The 20,260-nt window shown below is 38.9% G+C and overlaps 1 protein-coding gene and 1 long non-coding RNA gene across 10 annotated transcripts in view; one reads left to right on the top strand and one right to left on the bottom strand.

Annotated features, from left to right (window-relative positions):
• The window catches only part of ARHGAP15 (Rho GTPase activating protein 15), a 638,934-nt gene that overhangs the window by 7,019 nt on the left and 611,655 nt on the right, over positions 1-20,260 (bottom strand). The gene's annotated exons all lie outside the window — the stretch shown is intronic.
• The window catches only part of ARHGAP15-AS1 (ARHGAP15 antisense RNA 1), a 135,343-nt gene that overhangs the window by 14,765 nt on the left and 100,318 nt on the right, over positions 1-20,260 (top strand). For 2 of the 3 annotated variants that reach the window (XR_007087252.1, XR_007087250.1), the window contains exon 1: positions 751-20,244. This is a non-coding gene — a long non-coding RNA (ARHGAP15 antisense RNA 1). Of the gene's footprint in view, positions 1-750; positions 20,245-20,260 lie in introns of those variants that run through there. The other variant, XR_007087251.1, reaches the window with a different exon arrangement.

The raw sequence follows: 20,260 nt of genomic DNA, 5'->3' as shown, positions 1-20,260 counted from the left end.
GTGGTGGTAAATGTATTCCTGCCATCAGGTCACACCTGGCTTGCAAAATATAGCTCAGCCACTGCATGTGAAATGTTAATTGTGACTTTGACCACTTAACTAAAGAGAGGCTGTTAAAAATAGAATAAATTTTCAATATGCTCAACTTATGTTTCCTATGTGCTATAACTATTTCGGGGGGGATCTATGCTAACCATATGCTTGCCTACCCTCAATTTGCACAAACTGTACTGCTATCTACACTGGCCTTTTTATAAGATTGAGGACTTAGCAGAAATTCCACCTTCTTCTTTAAAGTTATAGTTGTATGCCAGAAACATTCTCAAGTATTGGAAAAGCAGGGGAGCATTCACAAGTGTTTTTGCATTTAACATTAGTGTGTTTCGAGGTGGTCACTCAAAGATAATTCAGCCATTTTTTATATGCCAGTTTACATATCCATTAGCTTAAACAAATTGAAAAGTCTTCAATTTTATATCTAAACATCATGTCATTCTTATTTTCCAAAACAACTATCATCCTAAATAGGAATTATTGCTATATTCTGACATTTTTGCTTTTGAATAAAAGCAAAAAATTAGCTTTAAAGTTAGGTGTATATAATTCTTAGTACATTATAGCAAAGGAGCGTTATATGGCAGTTGAATTTTGATAGCTAACATGGCCAGATTATTTGCATTTATTGAACCTCTGCATGAATTTCAATGCAGAAGATTGAAACATTTTCAATTCACTTGTTTCATATTTTTATTGATTGGGCATTACAGTGATATTCTAAAGTATCTCTAAAGCAATATTTAGAATATTTAATAAGATGTGAGAACTAAAAAGTAAAAAAATGAATGGCCCACAGGCTTCAATTTATAATTTATTTCTTATTAGAATATATGTTCTGTAAGGTGATAACAACCACAGATAAAATGGAATATCAGAACCAAAACCCTGACATAGTAGATAATACCAAAAAGAAACATTTACAGTAGTTACTGTTTGTTACTATTAATACCTTCTATGTGCTAATCACTGTGCTTCAAATATATCACAAATTTTAAAGGCAGATTTTAAAATCAGCTTTAATTTCTTTTTTTGATGATAAACGCATTCTATTAGAGAAAATTTGAAAAGTTTAGAAGAGTATAATAAACACTGGGAACTCGATGTAACCATTTATTAGTTCATAAAAATCTATTGCGTACTTACTATGTGTTTGACACTATTCTGGATATTAGGGATAGTGCAATGAGTAAAACAGACAAAATCCCTGCTCAGATGAAGCTTAAAATCTAGTGGGGAAAACAGACAACAAACCATACACTAAGCAATATACAATGTGACTTCAGGCCCTGAAGTACTTCAAGAAAAGCTAAGAAAAAGAGAAGTAATGGTTCTTCCACTGACCCTAGGGAACTTTAAAAAAACCCTGATGGCTTGGAATCCATTCCCAGAGATTCTCTTTTATTGAATATTGGGCAAGGCCAGGCTGCCTTCATTTTTGAATAGCCCCCAGGTAATACTAATGAGCAGAGAGTGGTAAGAAGTGCTACGTGTATTAGACGGAGTGCTCAGGGAAGCCCTCTCTAAGGAAGGGAGATTTGAGCAGAGTCCTGTCGAGGTGCACATATCAGGGGAACAAGTGTTCTGGGCGGGGAATGGTAGGTACAATACCCTGGTGGTGAGGAATGCAGAGCATAGTCTGGCTGGAGGCCAGGGAGCAAAGGGAAAGAGGTAGGAAATGCTGCGGAGGGACTTAGGGGTCATGGTAAAAATCTGGGACTTATTTCTAAGGGTGATGGAAATCATTTCTTTGGGTTCGAGCAGGAGAATGACACTGTTGGCATTTAGAGATGATAGAAATGTTTGTATAATGTATCTACATACAACTTTGAGAAAATGCACTTTATATAATTCTGTATCTGGCATTTTTCACTTCTAACAGGAATAATTCCTATGACTTATATATGTAATATATATCACTTCATCATTACCTTATATGGAAGAGAATGAATTGTGCCATATGCTTTCGTGGTATAAGTGAGATAAATAAATAAAACCTTCCCATGTACTCTTCCTCCACATTTTGGAGTATTTTTTTAGGCAGTGGTTCCCCATTTAGGAGCAATATTGTACCCTGTCCCAAGCCCCACCCCTCCACCTATGAGAGATTTGGCAATATCTGGAGACAGTTTTGATTGTCATGAGCAGGTGGGGTGGGAAATTGCTACTGGTGTCTAATGGGTAGAGGCAAAGGATCCTGCTAAACATTTTGTAATGCACAGGCAGCTCTGATGACAAAGAATTATCTAGCCCCAAATGGCAATAAAGCTGCAGATGAAGACCTCTGCCTTAGTGTAAAATAATAGAAATGTAACAATTCGATCCGTGGTTCTCAAACTTTACCCTTCATGAAGATAATTTGGAAGGTATTAAAAGGCAGGTTGCTGGGCTCCACCTCCAGATTTCTGATTCAGCAAGTCTGGGGAGAGGCTTGATAAACAGCATTCCTGTCAAGTTCCCAAGTGGTAACAGTACTGCTGGTCTGGTTGGGAACCACATCTTGAGAACCAGCACCAGATTATCAAGTTATGGCTCTTTTTTCCTTAAAACATAACATGTGGGAGGGCCTATTAGTCCTGTTAGCAGTATTATAATTTGGTATTATTCTTTTTAAAAATAACTGCCATACATGAAAAATAGTCTGTCATTCTTTGAACTTAGGATTCTTTGAATTTAGGAAATGGGGAAGAAGTTAATAAAGCAAACAAGCAGTCGTGTGTTTCCTCTCCTGTGAATATCTCCTGCCCTCTTTCCTATTTAGAGTGTATACTTTTATGTTTGTTTGTTTAACCCATTTTATTTTGTACAGCAAAACTAATACATGGTCTTTTGGGAAAAAAAAAGTACTAATCAGAACTATTGAAAAGTAAAAAGTAAAAACCTCCCCTGTTTCCTAGTCAAATTTCTTCATAACTATAATTAACAGATGGGTGTTCCTTCTGGATGTTTTTCTACTCATCTATCCATCTACCTATTTTATATATATTTATATATATATACACACACACTTGTATATAAATAATTTTTTTCCTTTTTAGAAAAGATGAAATAAAAAATACATAATGTGCTATAATTTGCTTTTCCCCCCTTAACTATATATCACGGGCATGTTTCCAAGTCAGTACATATAAAAATACCTCATTCTTTTAAAAAAGTTGTTATATTTCATAGTATGGAAATACCTTAATTTATCTAACCATTTCTCTGCTGGTTGGTTTTTAGGTTGCTTCTTCTAATTCTTTGCTATTACAGACAATGCTACAGTGAAATCCTTGCATATGTAGATTTCTAAGTTTCTTTATGTCTTAAGAGTAACTTTTCATTACTTTTGTGGCACATACATTCTCCCAATTCTTGTGTTTCTTAATTTTATTTACTTAAGTTCTTATGTAGTCATATCTAGTACTATTTCTTTTGGATTTTATCTTTGTTTTTATTATTATAAAATCCAACCATTTAAAGAGATCAGATAACTATTATCAAAGTCTTGTTTTTAAAAATGATTTTAGATTTTAAAAGCATATCATCTAATTCATTGTAAATATTTTTGTTGTGTGAAATTTGATGGTACTCTGAATTTACTTTTTTTCTGGAAACCAGCTGATTTTCCCTATGACATTTGTTGAATAAACCACCACTCTCCATTGATTTGTGGTACTGCCTTTTTTGTGCAGATTGCCTGCAGTCAGCCACACACCCTGGTATACGGTACTGTGCTGATAATCTCTATGTATGTATGTATGTGTATATATATATATATTTTCTTTTTGAGACAGAGTCTCACTCTGTCACCCAGGCTGGAATGTAGTCGCATTGTCTCGGCTCAATGAAATCTCCACCTGCCAAGTTGAAGCGACTCTCATGCCTCAGCCTCCCAAGTAGCTGGGATTACAGTCACGCGTTACCATGCCTGGCTAATTTTTTGTATTTTTAGTAGAGACGGGGTTTCCCTATATTGGCCAGGCTGGTCTCAAACTCCTGATCTAAAGTGATCTGCCCATCTCAGCCTCCCACAGTGCCGGGATTACAGGCGTGAGCCACTGTGCCCAGCCTCTGTGTGTATTTTGATTCAGTACTCTGCTGTTTAAATCACTGTAACTTTACTGTATATTGGGATATTTCTCTTCCCATTTTTTTTTTCTTTTGTTTAGACGTAAGAGAAAATTTTCAGGTGAACTTTTTCAGATGAACAAAATGACCCTGAGAAAGACTGAAAATTTGATCCAAGCCACACAGGCAGTAAGTGGCAGAGCCTAGATTAAGATGCAGATCTTTATTACTCTGTGATATAAATGTATTTTCTGCAAGTAGCTAAGATCCAAGAATTTTGAATTTGACATCAAGAGACTTCTTAATGGAGAGGCCTGAGACCTGAGGAAGACTTGGGAAAAAAGTGAGTCAGAGTCAACAAGAAGTCTTGGGTGACATATTTTGATTTTTTAATCACCTAATTCACATCCAAGGATATATCTGCACAGATAAGAAGGGTGTTCAGATGGAAGAAAAACCAAATTAACATGTATTACCTTTTTTCCATATTCACACAGATTTAAAAACTTCTGAAAGCATTCATATCTCATTGTAAATGGAAATGCCCTATTAGCACAATGATTATTTCAGTTATTTTTTTTTTTAGGTGTTTTTCCTCATGCTTTTAAAATGGTTTTAGCCATTTGCATTTAACTGTCTCAGCAGTAAAAGAATTCTTAATCTTTATTCCCTGAGCTCTGCTGATACACCAATAACCACTGATAATATCAACATCCTGGGAAGGCATCGCTCTGCATTTAGGGGAGAAAGGCTAGCAAATATATTATGTTGGGAGTACTTTAAGCAATAAAAAAATTATAAGACTGTCATTATTTTCTACCTGAATTAGTCCAATATAGCTATTTAAAAACTAGTATGTGCTAGTAATATTTTAGACAGAACTTTGAGTGTTGTGCATGGATCAGCATTAATTAAGCCAAGCAGAATAATGCACCTAATTATAAGTTATTAGTGGAGTATATAGTACTTAAATATTTGCCTTGTGACGTTAGATAAACATAAAAGGAATATTTTCAGTATGCAAAGTATTCCTCAACTTCTCTTTTGTTTTTCCTTTTTATATAGGTGAAGAGAAGAGCAACTTTACTTTTCATTGAGGGCGCCTACATAAAATCTTTAGCAGTTTTCTTGAAAATTGTCTCCTTGTTTAAATGACTGAAAAATAGTCAAAGGAGAATCAGTTGCAATTTGGGTATCATCATTCAGTTTGTATGCGCTTAATTTTACTTTCTGAGGAAAAATAAGTTTTAGAGTTTTTTTTTTTGAGATGGAGTCTCACTCTGTTACCCAGGCTGGAGTGCAGTGGCAAGATCTCAGCTCGCTGCAACCTCTGCCTCCCAGTTTCAAGTAATTCTCCTGCCTCAGCCTCCCAAGTAGCTAGGATTACAGGCACCCGCTACCACACCCAGCTAGTTTTTGTATTTTTAGACAGGGTTTCACCATGTTGGTCAGGCTGATCTCAAACTCCCTACCTCAGGTAATCTGCCTGGCCCTCCAAAGTGCTGGGATTACAGGTGTGAGCCACCACACCTGGCCAGTTTTAGACACTTTCTGCAGTGACTTTAAGAGGGACACAGTAAAACTAGTGAGCACCAAGGTGAATGTGCCCAGAGAGTGGCTTCTAAATGGAAGAGCGCAGGAACTGAAGGTGTTTGGTTAGCAGGGGGGAAAGAATATTTAGGGAAGTCATGACTCAATGCAAAAAGCCATGATGTGAAAGAAAGAATAAACTTTCCTCTTGTAATCCAGTTACTGGAATTGGCCCAGAGATGGATTTTACCTTTGTATGAAGAATTAGTGTTGTAAAAATAGAAAAGACTGCTTCAAAACAGTAATGCATTTACATGTACTGCAGAAAATTTAGAAAATGCAGACAAAGATACAATAAGAATCCCTCATAATTCTACTACTTAGATATTACCACTATTGATATTTGGTATAGATCCCCCCCCCCCATATATGCTGGCAAAGCATTGGGAGCACCTATTAAAGATATTAAAGATTTTATACCAAAAAAGGCTATGAGTTCCCCATCAAGAGAAGTATTCAGGCAGGATGTTTGAGATTCCTGTATTGGATGGAAGGTTGAACAATCTTTGAAGTGTGGTTTGGGCTGCCGGATTAATGATGAAAGAGTGAGCATTCTGGGAAAGTCAAAGTATCATCTGGGGATAAGATGAGATAGTAGATAATGACTGAGCCTTCTTCTCTACCCTTCCTTGTACATTGGGTCTTTCCCCAATGTTCAGTCAGCAACACTGTGCCCTCAGTTCAGGGGTGATGCAGAAAAGCAGAAGTCCTTTTAATTTTTGCAAGGCAAGGCAGTTGAGTTGCAAAGGACTGTGTTTTTGAGTTTCAAAAGCCTAAGTGCCAAAGGCCTCAGAGCTGCAGCCAAAATATGGATGGCCTGATCAGTAGATTGGAAGGTAGATAAAGAGCCAGGCTGCTTTGCTGCCAGGCTAGAGAAAGATTTTCTGGACTTGGGGAGGGAGGGTCTAGGAAAGGTGAGACTTTGATGAGGTCCCACGTAAGTGGCCCAGGCCCTGGTCCTTGCTAATCCCGTTCCCTGGGAGTGCAGGCTGTTAGAAGGCTTGAGGATCCTGAGAATCAGACAGATCTGTATTCTTCTCTTTGGGGAAGACCTAGTAGTATGGCAGGATTCCAGAGCTGCCTACACCTAGTATATCAGGAGCAGTTAAGTAGAAATTGCTGCTTTGTATATCTAGGCAGGGTGGCCAAAGATAGCTCACAGAGTACTCTGTGAAGAGTGACTGAGATCCAGACCTGGGATTGGAAGTTGGGGATGATGACTGCAAATGAAAAGGGAATGAAGACCAGCCTGCAGAGGTGGGAAAAACTAGATACTTTCTCTGCTGCTAATCTGCTTTATTATCTTTCTCCAGCAGAATATAAATGCCGTAAGCACAAGGACTTTATCTGTTTTTGCTTAGTGCTGTATCCATAGACTAAGATTAGTATTTGGCTCATGGTATTAAGTACTCAACAAGTATTTGTTGAAACGCTGTATTAATGGATATCCTTTCTGCCCCTCCACCAAATGCTTCGGCTTTACATAGCCCTCCAGAACTAACAACATCACCAGAAAAAATCTGGAAGACAGTCTTAACTGACCAAATTCAAGTCATTTAGAAGAATAGGGCCTGAAAAATAAATTAATTTTAATGTTGGCACAATAATTACATTTCCTGCACACCTAAATTTCACCCTGATGGTGAATTAGAACATTAGATCTGTGGAGGAGACTAGTTGGTGTAATGTATGAGAGGACAAGAAGATGAAGGCAAAAATAAAAAGCGCAACTGTTTGAGAACTTAAGGGCCTGTAATTGTTCAGTGTGTCTTTCCTTCGCATATATTATCTGACAATGAGTTTCCAAACATGTACCTAATTTGAACAAAACTGGTGAGAGGAATTTAGAATAGAGAGTAATTTTTATCTGTTTTATGCTATGGTTGGATTGAAGCTAAAGATAATGATGCCATTTTTTTGGCCATCTAAAATTTGACCATATAATTTTATTTTTGGTAAAATGCTCGATGCATCTGCAGGAATATAAACCCTTTCAAAATGTATGTAATACTTTGCTCAAAGATAGAAAATAATTTATTTTGCATTTACACATATAAATTTATCATCTGTACTACGTTGAAGGAATGGATTGTGCCAGTTTCTGCATATGTCCCTGTAAATACGGATGCTGGGCTAACTCATGATTCTATCGTCCGGTACGTAGAACTGTGATCACCTGTTCTAAGAATTTCTACATGAAATGCCTCATCTTTTAGGGACCACTATCAAGCATTATATTAAGCTTTATAACAGAAGGCTCTTAGTCTGTTAAGGGGCCATTCGTACATTTGTCAATTTGATAATTATGGTGGCTGCTTTGCTTGCAGAGATGGGCCACTTAGATCTCCTTTCAAGGAAGGACTACCTGCATAGCTGCAGGGATAGCTGATGGCTGCCAGCTATCTTCTTCACGGTTTGCCTCAATTGCAATAAGCCTCCTTGCTCAAGGACACTGACTGATCTGTCAACATATATTTTATGTTATGTATGTATTTAAGAGACGAGCTTATTCTGTCGCCCAGGCTAGAGTGCAGTGGCACAATCATAGCTCATTGTAACCTCTAACTCCTTGGGTCAAGCGATCTTCCCGCCTCGACCTGCTGAGTAGCTAGGACTACAGGTGTGTGCCACCATGCCCGGCTAATTAAAAAAAATTTTTTTGTTTTGTAGAGATGGGGTCTCACTATGTTTCCCAGGCTGGTCTCGAACTCCTGGCCTCAGGTGATCTTCCTGCCTCAGCCTCCTGAAGTGCTGGGATTACAGGTGTGAGCCACTGCTCTGGCCCCTACTCAGTCAGTCAGTATAAAGCCTGGACTATTTCTGCCCACTGTGGGACGACTTTGACAGGCTCTATGTGCCCCAGAGCTTCCTGTGGGTCTGGCTGAAGCTTTCTTGGGTCTGCACTTCAGTTCAGCTTATTCCTCTGCCCAATCCTGTTGCCCACCTCCTTCCTTCCACAGGGGTTAACCTTTAACAATGCCCTGGATGCCAAACTCTGTTTCAGGGGCTCCTTCTGGAGAACTGAACCCATGATTATTAGTTCTATGAGTGGTCCCAGAAAGCCAGCAATAAGATGGAGATTTGGAGCTGGGTCACTCGCAGCCTGACTGGCAATGAGGAGTCCATCGATGGTGGCAGGTGGAATGCAGGCGGGTCCTGGCACAAGGTGGCAGCCCAATTGTGAAAACTCACCCTGGTGGTGAATTAGGACATTAGATCTGTGGAGGAGACTAGCTGGTGTAAAGTATGAGGCATTTAGAAATAATAGTGGGAGGTTGTGGATAGTAACTCCAAGGTCAATGAATTGAAGAGCTGTTGCTAAGCATCGTTGATATTCTACAGAAAAGTTGTATGTGATTATAGGGGCCTTTACTCTGTAAATGAGGGTTGACTATAGGAGAGTCCATTACAGAACTAGGCTCACTGATTGTAATGGGGATGCTGAGACACTGGTAATAGAGGCCAGCTGGTGGGGCTTAATTACTAGAAGCCAGGTAGATGCAATTTTAATAACAAGTGGCAGGGTTGAGGGGCAGCCAAGGGGGCCCGACTCAGAGAATTATGAGATGGTCGCTAGAACATAGCATCCTCTGGAACAAAATAAATGGGCAGTCAGGAAGGATGCTATTCTCTGTATATCATTGTATTTGAATGATATATCAAATCACTGTCTTCTAAGCTACTGTTGCTTTCTTGCCAGGTGGAGCTTCTTGGGTCCAGGCACCAGCAGTCAAGGCAAAGAGTCACCATCTAGGCAGGTATAATTAACTGTGATCAAAGGGCGGAGGCAAGGTTGCTGTTACACCAGGGGGACAGAGTGGCACCCAGATGATCCACATAGGGCTTCCAAGTTCTCTGTTGCCCAGTTGTGATGGGGCATTAACAGGGCAGAAATTCTTGTCTGAGAAGACATGGTATGTAGGAGCTTGGATCTCCCATGGATGAGGGTCTGGGACATTACATTAGGGCAGCCACCACGACCAGCAGACGCCATTGTTGAGGATGAGGGGAGTCTCGAATAGAGAGTGGAGGATGGAGACAATGAGCTGGGCTCAGGTCCAGCTGTAGCTGCAGAGCTTGTAGTTCATCCTTCTAAAGATTCCCCTTCAAAGATCTCCTCTCTCCCTGAGAGTCCTGGGGGAGCTGCTTCTCAAATGAACATGAAGAACACACTCCGAGCACCACAAAGGGTGGACTGTGCTGGACCCTTGATGTGCTACCCAGGTCTCTCTTTGAGGAAAGACTTGTTGCCCAGTTTCCAAGTGTCAAGTCCGCAGGCAGCTTCAGCTGTCAGCCCCTGCAGGGTTTGCCTCAGCTGAAGAGAGCCACCTCACCCCAGGGGACTCTTGGAGACAGCCCACGGCCAATGACTGATCACAGTGAGTGTATCAAGGCCAAGCCATCTTCATCCTCCCGGAGACAACTGTGATGGGCCCTGGATGCCCCAGACCTTCTGTGGGTAGCCAGGCTTTGTCCGGCCCAATGTCATAGTTTGACTTCTCTTTCTACCCCATGCTGCTCCATCTTTACTTCTGTTGGTGTTAATAGGTAACTGGCGCCATGTTAAATCTAACCTGTGACAGCAACCATGAGCTCTGGGGAGTCAGAGAAGTTCCAATAGAAATAGAGCTGGCTCATGAAAGGGAAGACCTGACATCTAATGTGGAGCCTAGATCTGAACAGCCTTGTGTTCACGCATCATTTCCCTCCCCCTTTGAATTCATGCTTAATTATCAGCAAAACTGAGATAAAATCATCACGCTATATCTGTATAGTACTTTATATTTTCCAAACTTGTTCTGATCATTCTAGGGCAGAAATTCTCTATCCAGACTGCATATTAATATCATCTGTGGAACATTCAAAACCATATTAACCTCTGGGACCCATCCACATAAAATCTGTTGCAAACGGCTTGCAGTTAGGCCTGGGTACATTTTAAACGCTCTGCATGTGATTCTCTTCTAACTGGAGGGAAAGAACCATTGCTCTTGATCTGGAAGCTCAAAATCTTAAGTGCTAGTTCTATAGGTACTGACTGTGATCTTAGATGGGCCCTACCATTTCTCTGAGCCTCAGATTCTTCATTTAGAAAGTGAAGTTAATGGCAAAACTGATCTCATAGGTTGTTTTGAAGATTAAATTTAAAAATGTATGTGAAAACCCTTTGCAAGCTAGAGAAACATTTTTTTTTTCTTGAGACTGATTTACGTTTTTGCTGCCTGTGCCGGAGTGCAATGGCACTGTCCCGGCTCACTGCAACCTCTGCCTCCCTGGTTCAAGCAGTTCTCCTGCCTTAGCCTCCTGAGTGGCTGGGATTATAGGCATGCGCCATCATGCCCCACTAATTCTTTGGATTTTTAATAGAGATGGGGTTTCACCATGTTGGCCAGGCTGGTCTCGAACTCCTGACCTCAGGTGATCTGCCTACCTCGGCCTTCCAAAGTGCTGGGATCATAGGTGTGAGCCACCACGCCCAGCCAGAAACATTAATTTTTATTATATGTGATTACATTTCTTTCTGTCAATTGTTTTATAAACATGGAAAGGGAGATTAGAACTCACTGGTTTTCCACTCTGGCTCAGGCTTTTAATAAAGGAAAGGAATTGCACAGAGATTCTGATTTGGTAGTTCAGGGTTGAGACCCGGGACTCAGAGTTGCTAAAAAGCTTCACAGATGAGCCTGGTGTGCAGCCAGGGTTAGGGACTTCTTGGTTAATGATCTGTCCAAAGGTTACACAGTGCTAATAAAGTCAAAGAACCAGGGACTCAACTCTAGCCCTTTCCATGCTTCTCTAGAGTTTTATCTACTATTATCCATGCTGAGTGCTCTTTCGTGTACATACTTATTGTAACATTGTATGTTAATCATAAAATATAATAATAGAGATAAAAGGGATTTTGAATTTAAAACATATAAATATAATGTGTTATGATTATTAAATGTTAAAATAATTACTCCTATCCCATTAGCACTAAATCATATGATTTGTGTGCTTTTAGTAAGGGGTGAAACTCTGTAGGTAACACAAGCTATTTTTAAGATTATATGAACCAAGCATAAATTAAACAATGTGACACCAAGGCTGAAATAATGTACGCAAGTACTAAATGAAACGTTTAAGGGAATTCAAAATAGAGTAATGAACTGTTACCTACTGTTCCCCTATCTTGAACATGCTGACTTAATGTGGCATCATGAAGGAAGAGAATGGAATAAAGAGAGAGAGAAGGATGCATAGAGAAATGAAGATCGTTTTCGTGTGATCATGACCAGGCCATTCATATTTCTCTTATAGCCTGGAAACAATTTCATACTTATTGGAAGATGTGACCTTGAAATGTTCCTTACTTGCAAAAAGACAAATATTCTCGGAGCCGGGTGTTAGCTGGTGGACTCATCTGTCCTGCCTGCCCTTCGATTGGAGGCCACTGCAGGCAGAATGCAGACTGGAGTGGAGCAAGTGTGGTACTTATTTTTTACATTTCCAGACTTTAGGGTAAGCTCTCTTTGACAGCACCCTGACTTCTTTAACACAGCAAATCTTTAATCAGTGTAGATATGTTAAAATGTGATTTTTTACAGTGAATTGACCTGAGTTGAGTACTTGAGTTGTAATGTGTATTTTTTTCCCCCTCTCAAAAGCTGACTTGTAGGGGGAAAAAAAAAATCAGATATTCTATGATATACTTTGCCTTAGTGACAAGATGTTTTGGGGGAAATCATCCAAGCTTGAAATAAAATCTTTATTGAAAGTAATTCTACATTCATGCCAGTCAGATACATTGTTGGATTAGACCAGATATCCCAGGGGAAAACTATGGTATATGCAGCAGGCTGAGTTGATTATTTGGGCCTCCTGTCAGTTTTTAACTTCCTGACAATGGCTGAAGCATTCACGGCCGCTACAACTCTGTTTTCATCTTTATTTTGAGAGAAAGTTAATACACTTTACCTTAACTATGCCAAATGTACTGGAAAATAACCCAGTAATAAGATATACTCCGCCTACCAAGTGATATCTGTGTGTAGAGAGCATTTAGCTGTGCATTTTAAGGAAACAAATACACGCAGCAAATGACTGAAAGATATTGTGATTATTTTTTCTGCTTGAACTTTAAAATTTTCTTGGCAAAGCCTCCTGTGTGCTGTCTTAAAACCAGTAGGTATACATAATCGTGGGGCCAAGTAAAATTTCATTGCAAATTCCCTTCAAATGGCAGGGCAGCTTTTCTTTCCCCCTATATTAGAGTGATTTAGTTATCAATGTTATTTGACATCAAAAACAAAGACATAGGTGGGCCAGGTGACATTTGTTTCCACTTAGAGAATCAACAACAGCTTAGGATGTCACTTTTGAAAAGATCATAAAATTGCTTTTTGGACATAATTAACAGTGTAACCAAAGAAGAGAGAAAAAGGCATAATTTCAAATTTGGAATTATATTCTGATTCACTGTGAAGACAACATAGTGTTGTAGTTGCAGAGAAAAAGAAAGACATGACCTCTAGTAGATGTTTGATAGTAACCACATTCATTTGAAAATTCACAACTTAATTTTGTAATTCTCATCTTTTTGTTCTATATTCTAAAATTAATTGCTCTCACGTTGCCTAAGAACAGAAGCAAGAAGGTGAAGTGGACTTTGATTCAAGTTTAAGAACACAAATGATAGTTTAGTATTGTGTTCCAAAAAATCACAACGTATTGCCTCAGACAAGGAAGTCTCAAGGTAAAAAGTATATGTGTTCTGAGAACCATATTTTCTACCTGAGAAATATGTTGGTTAAAAACTTAAGTTTAAAAATTTTTGTTTTTAAGTTAAAGATTCTAGATGTCCTCTGATAAATGAATGGATAATGAATGGATAAACAGCTGTGGTATATCCATACAACGGAATATAGTTTAGCAATAAAAAGAAATAAGCTATCAAACCATAAAAGAACAAGAAGAATCTTAAATGCATATCGCCAGGTGAAAGAGGCCAATCTAAAATCGCTGTATACTATATGATTCCAAGCACCTGACATCCTGGAAAAGGCAAAACTTTGGAGACAGAAAAAGAACAGTGGTTGCAGAGGTTTTGGGGAGGGAGGGAGGAATGAAAAGGTGGAACACAGCAGATTTTTAGGGTAGTAAAAAACTATTCTCTGACACTATAATGGTGGTTACATGTCATTACACATTGGTCAAAATCCATAGAATGTACAGTGTAAAGAGTGAAGCCTAATGTAAACTATGGACTTTAATTAATGTCTCAATATTGGCTCATAAGTTACAACAAATATACCACACCAACACAAGATTTTAATGATAGGAGAAATTGTGTGTATGTGGTGGGTGGAGAGGAAGTATATGGGAAGTCTCCGATCTTTTTTTTTCTTTTTTTTTAAGTTCTGGGATACATGAATACACGTGCTGAGCGTGCAGGTTTGTTACATAGGTATACATATGCCATGGTGGTTTGCTGCACCTATCAACCCATCATCTAGGTTTTAAGCCCTGCATGCATTAGGTATTTGTCCTAATGCTCTTCCTCCCCTTTCTCCCCACCCCCTGACAGGCCCCAGTGGTGATTCTGATCAGTTTTTTAAACCTAAATCTGGTTTGAAAAATCTATTAACAAAAAAAAAGTTAAAAGATGATAAAGCAGATAGCATCCATTCAGGGCTTAGAGGTCAATTTACCTGCTCATGTATCCTTATGGCCACACACATTTGAGTTGTTTTGCACTTATATTACTACTATTTTTATTGCCACATTTATGCCAATCATGCTACTCAAAAACATATTTAAGCATGTCTCTACTAGGAAGACTTTTAGAATCATATTCTGATCACTTGCTTATTTGCTTTCTTGGCATTTAAGCATTCAGATTGTATTACATTGTTGTTGATATGTTTTATTTTTATCGCTAAGTTATTTCATTCACATATGTTTTACTCTCTCAATTAGATTGCAAACTCTTTGCATTTAGGTGATATGTTACCTTCAGCTTTCCTCCTATTTCATTTGTGGTAAAAAAGTTAGGGCATTCAGTAACTTCTTATTACAAATAGTTTTTGTTTTATGTTTGGCTGACAGATTAAGCTTTTTCTCACCCAAAAGGGACTGTCTGAACAGAAGTGAGGTACTCCCCAATATTTTTCTGTCTGCAGTCAGAACAACGCTGTCAACAGACATTCATGTTTGTTAGATGTTGAGGCTTTTTCTGTGTCATTTCTCCCTATGTTCTTCCTATCTTCTGTGTTTTACTTTCTTTGAAAAAAAATTACAGAGGATGACTGGAGGATATAATTTGCAAATACAACAATATAATGTAACATTTAGAGGGTTTTTTTTTGAAAAAGGAATTTGGTAAGTGCAAAATATCATCTGTGGATGCTCCATTTTCAAAGGTTTTATGAGAGTGTGAAATTACTTTAGGTTAAGGTATCAAAAATAGAATGTGGAAGTCATGAGGTTCGTGTTGAAAAGTCTTGGTTTCTTACGGGTAATTTCTACATAATCCAAATAATATATACAGAAGAGAATGTCTAAATAATCTACTTCACTGACATATAGAATTGTGTGGAAATTCGTGAGGTCAACTGACCCACAATACCATAGGAAGTTGGAGAAAAAAGCTGATTTGACGAAGCTGCTTTTGCCTCATTACTGCACACCAGTTTTAATTACTGGAACGAAAGATCAACTTGAACAAGGAAACAGAAAGCCTGATTTTTCTCTTCTGGCTTCGCTTCTTACTACCTGTAGTACTCTGGGCACTCACTTAGCCTTGCTCAGCTTCAGTTTCCTCATTTTGAATATCAGACAGTTGGGCAGAAGAATTTCTAATTTCCTTGTGCTGCAAATCCTATTAACAATTTTAAACACCTTTTCCTTCCTGTAACTTGAAATACTTTGCAAGGAAAGTTGACAAGCTCAGAAACACATTGCAAGCACAGCCATCAATTGCAAAATAAGTGAACCCTAAAATGTAAAAAGTTTGTAGTAATCTCTTGCATATATATGAATATTTTAAATATACATTTATATATTATAGGATGTTTATATGTACCTTTACATTTATTTATCAAAGTGATGAGTGAAATAGAAAGGCAGAAACAAGATTTTTAAGGAAACAGACATGAGTCTCCATCTCTTGGAAGCATGAGGGTGTGTCTATAGTCTGAGTTTTTGTTTTCTTACACTTATAAAAGAATGGTGGCATTGGACAAAGAGACCTGCTCTGGCAGAAGGGATGGCACACAGATTTGCTTCACCTGGCTGATGGTGGCTGCCTGCTCTGTGAGAAAGGACCCTGAAGGTGAAGTCACAGTGTAAAAGGGTGATATGATCACTCAGTTATGTCAACATGGGTTCAGGAATGGGGAATGGTGGCATGTATGCCAGGAATGTGCCATTCAGCAGAAAAGTAATTTCAAAAGGTAACCAGATACATCTATGGAAGCAACAAAAGGTATTCCTGGATGAGAAGGAATCTGCGAACTTGAGAGGCAAGCTCCTGGGGGTTTTGAGCCACGTTGCCCTTAAGTGAGTATAGAAAGAAGGGAAAATTTAAAGGAATAGAGGTATCAAAGTAGACAAACAGTGACTTTAGGAATATATTAGAAGTAATTTACAAAGATAAATATTTGAAGCGGATTTTAGAGAAATCTATGTAAATGGGATATGTCTTGGTGATCCCTTCAGGTGAGCACATATAGATCTGCTTCATTTTTAAAACAATAACTTTACAATATTCATAGTACGTATTTTTAAATCCCAGTTCCCAACGGATGTACATTTTCTCCCTCCCTATATTTTGTTGATTTTATAGTCATGAAAAGATCAGGCCTTTCCATGGTTGTAGGTGGATATTGAAGACAGAATCATAGGAAAACTATAATAGTCTCTCAATGATTAAAAAGATGTACTAATGTTGGTGGTTAAGTGATAATTTTATTGCAATAGTGATTATAAAGAGAGGGGAGATGTACAAGGATGCTGAATAAAGGAGCTTCAGTAGATTCCCTGTATTTTGTGTTTATACATTCGCACTCTTGTGCGGCGCCTCTTTGCAGTGCCTTATCTAGGGGGATTACTAATATGACAACACTCCTGATTTATAGAAGCTCAATTAGGTTAAACAGTTTGATTCATTTCAATTGGATTAAAAAAATCCCTTGTTGAATCTGAATTCTTGCTCTGCAACTAACACAAACTCGCACTCATTATTACTTATGGTGCTTTTCTTTATGGATGAAGTGCTTCTCAGCCAAGTAGCGGTAGTCATCCAGCTGATGACCATAAGGAAAACCAAACACTGTCAGTAGAATAACATCCTTAGCCAAGTGTTTATGTTGGATACATATACAATGCAGAACTGTTCTTAACTAATGATACAAAGTTGGCCTCCCCAAGTCTCTCCTTTTGTATTATTCCTTGCCACCCATGTGTTGAGCTAGATTTTCTCAGGACCTAAGCCCCACCCTAAAAGTAAGTTCTGCTTCTTTGCAAGCTGGATTTATTCTTTCCAGCTTCCAAGTGAACATCATACATCAAATAATTGTGAGTTAGCTATAAATACAATTGTGATGTGACTGTTAATGCAGTTTCCAAAGGTGATTAATTTATGTACACAGGGTATCTTAAACAATGAAATGATCTGGATAATTTGAAATTTTAAAATATTGTCCTTTATGGCATTTTGTTTATATTTCCTTTGTAAATCTATTGGTTCATTATATTCTTAATAATGTTTTTTTTTTCTTCTGGAAGGCAGAGAGAACATCCAAACCTTGCTACTAAGGACTTTATTTTCTTTCTTCCCCTTACTCCAACTTTCCGTGTTTTGATTACTCTCTAACCTACAATCTGGAAGTTTCTCCTCAGTTGGCTGAAATAATGTTTTGCTGGCATTCTTCTAACCAGATATCCCCTTGATATGTTTTATACCAAGCTGAAAGATCTGGCAAACTGCTGAAACGGGGAACGAGGCATTGGCACACGAGGAGCAAGGGAAGACAGACCAGGTACAACCTAGTGCTGTCCCCGAACATGGCTTTCATGGCAGAGAGAGGCCACAGGAGTCAGTACAGAGATCGCAAGAAACTAAGAGGCACAGGTTGATAAAGCAGCTTAACACAGGCCACAGGCAGGGAAAGAACATCTGCGGGAACCACATGGAGACTGTCCAAGTCAATAGAACACCATCAGTAGGGCCTTCCCTACACATGACCGAAGTAGCATGCCCCTCAGTAGAGGTCTTCTACCTCTACACCTTAATGACTGTCTGGGAAGCCCCCTTCTAAAGGAGCTAATGTGTATTCAGTCCTTGCCTTGTTCTACTGAAGTGCATTATCTTATTTTTCATGAAAACATTGTGAGACAGGTACTATTATTCCCATTTTAGAGACGAAAAACCTGAGGCTCAGGGAGGTTGCCCAGTGACATAGTGAAAATGCTGTGCCAAGGTTTAAACCCGGCTCACCTGAGTTTAGAATCTGAACGCTTCTTATCCCGCTGCCTATCTGTCCTCTTCAGTTTGTTTGGTTTCTCTGTTTGCTATTCTTTTTCCTCAGTCGCCGCTCTCTTTAGTTCCCAATCAGATATCCCTTGTCTCTAGACCCAGAGCTGGGAGCCAGCCTGTCCCCTTTCTTCCCCTGGTCCCAGCTCACTTAACCCCAGCCTGGGTTGGAGCCCCAGGCCCCTTGCTTTCCTGGCAGGAGAATAAAGACAGCTGGCAGTGAGAAAAGTCTGTGAAGGAGAATATGAGCAGTCGTGGTTATGGCTTTGCTGTGTGAGAACTCGCTCTGTCAGGGAGCTGCATGGGCTTCCCACACTTGCTGCATGGACAGATGTTTTCAATTATTATCACTGACAAGCCTCCGGGCCAGGTTCTTTTCTGATTGGCTGTCACTGGACTGTGAGGGGAATAAAGGAAACTGAGGCTAGCACGCAAAACACCTCAGTCATCACTTTAATCATGTTTCTCCAAAGCAACTGGTTGAGTTGGACAGTTCACCTCAGATTGGAATCGTTTTGTAAACACAGACTCAATTTCCTTTTAAACCTTTCTTTCATTCTGGTTTCAATTTTTCTGCCCAAATTTCTTCTGACATAAGAGGGAGACATTTGTCATTTCTTTACCGATTCTTTCCTTTTGTTGGTTTTCCAGTGTTTTGGGTACGTACCAGAATGTAGTAGGAGTTCTGACTTGAAGAAATTTAACTTGATATTATTAGACTTCTAGACTTGGCGTTGCACGGTCTTCCACAAAAATGACCTATGTCTGATCTGGAAGCACGGATATCCTGTGTTTCCATCTGCAGTCACGTGGGAAATGTCTCACCCTAAGTCAGAAGCCACTTCTCATTTCAGGTTTGCACCAACCATGGAGCCATTTGACATAGCTCTGTGCATGACTAGAATTGTTGTCTACCTTCCTAGCTTGTGATCAGATCTGCTATAATTAGTGTGATTTCCTTTTTTTATTGCCTCTGGTGTGTCCTAAGGAGATCCAAAGACCAGTTGGTCCCAGGGGAAATCTGACAAATCATGGGCATGGTCAATAATAAAAAAGAATATAGACCTGGCTCTCAGAAATCTTCCTGATAACTGATAACTGTCTCCTCTATGTAGCTCCTTCTTTAATGGGATCAATTATATTTGGTACCAATCAGTTTCTAGCTGCTTATTGTTTTTTCTTCCCTTCCTTTTTCTATAACTTAGAAGGGAAAATAAGATCATCAGGTGGATTAAAGCTTTCTGAGTTCATTTTTATTTCTCATTCTTCATGTCATATATCTGGTTGGAAAAAAAATGTATTCAAGATGCTCCGGCATTTCTGCATATTAGTTTTATGTCCTTTTGATGTCCTGAAATTTGGTTTGTGTGTGGTCCATCTTGCTCAAGTCTCCAGGCTGCCTGGTCTCTGCTGCCATTTTAAAACAATAGCAGCAGACATGCAAGTCTCCAAATGTATTCGGTAAAGCAGATACAATTCATAGTCTTAATTCTTGAAGGCCCAAGTCTCCATTTCAATTTCTGAAAAATGTCTCTTTGACTTTCAAACTAAACTCTTTTATTTTAAGCTCAAAGATAAAATATTATAGGATGTTAATTCATCCTTTTCAAAAAAGGCACATGAGGGTTAAAACATATGCTTCCTTCTTCACTCAGAAAAAAAATTCATTCCAACCTTTTTGGGGGGATCACATATAGCTCTAAAACAGCTGAAGCTAAAAACATCAAAGTTGGCATGACTTCAGTTATCACTGAATCAGGAAGATCAAGCCAAGTTTTTGAAGAAAATGGTTGAGCATTTTAAAAATAAAAGAAGTCAAAATGCTTTCTCTGAGCATGCTCAGTGGGAGGTTTTAAAATATTTTCTTTAGGTCAGCTTTATTTTGCTCATTTCTTTGGAAATATTTCAACAAAAGCCATCTAATTAGTCCTTAATAACATTGTTCACTAATGCCCTAGCCAAGGCCCAAGTGTCTGTCATCTGCCAAAGTGATGTTTTCACCGTGTTTGCCAAGGGACCACTACTGGGCAATGCGGGTGAGTTGCTTTGGTC

This window comes from Homo sapiens, chromosome 2, assembly GCF_000001405.40.
Source record: "Homo sapiens chromosome 2, GRCh38.p14 Primary Assembly".
Taxonomy (NCBI): Eukaryota; Metazoa; Chordata; class Mammalia; order Primates; family Hominidae; genus Homo; species Homo sapiens.
This window is presented reverse-complemented; position numbering and strand designations above follow the sequence as displayed.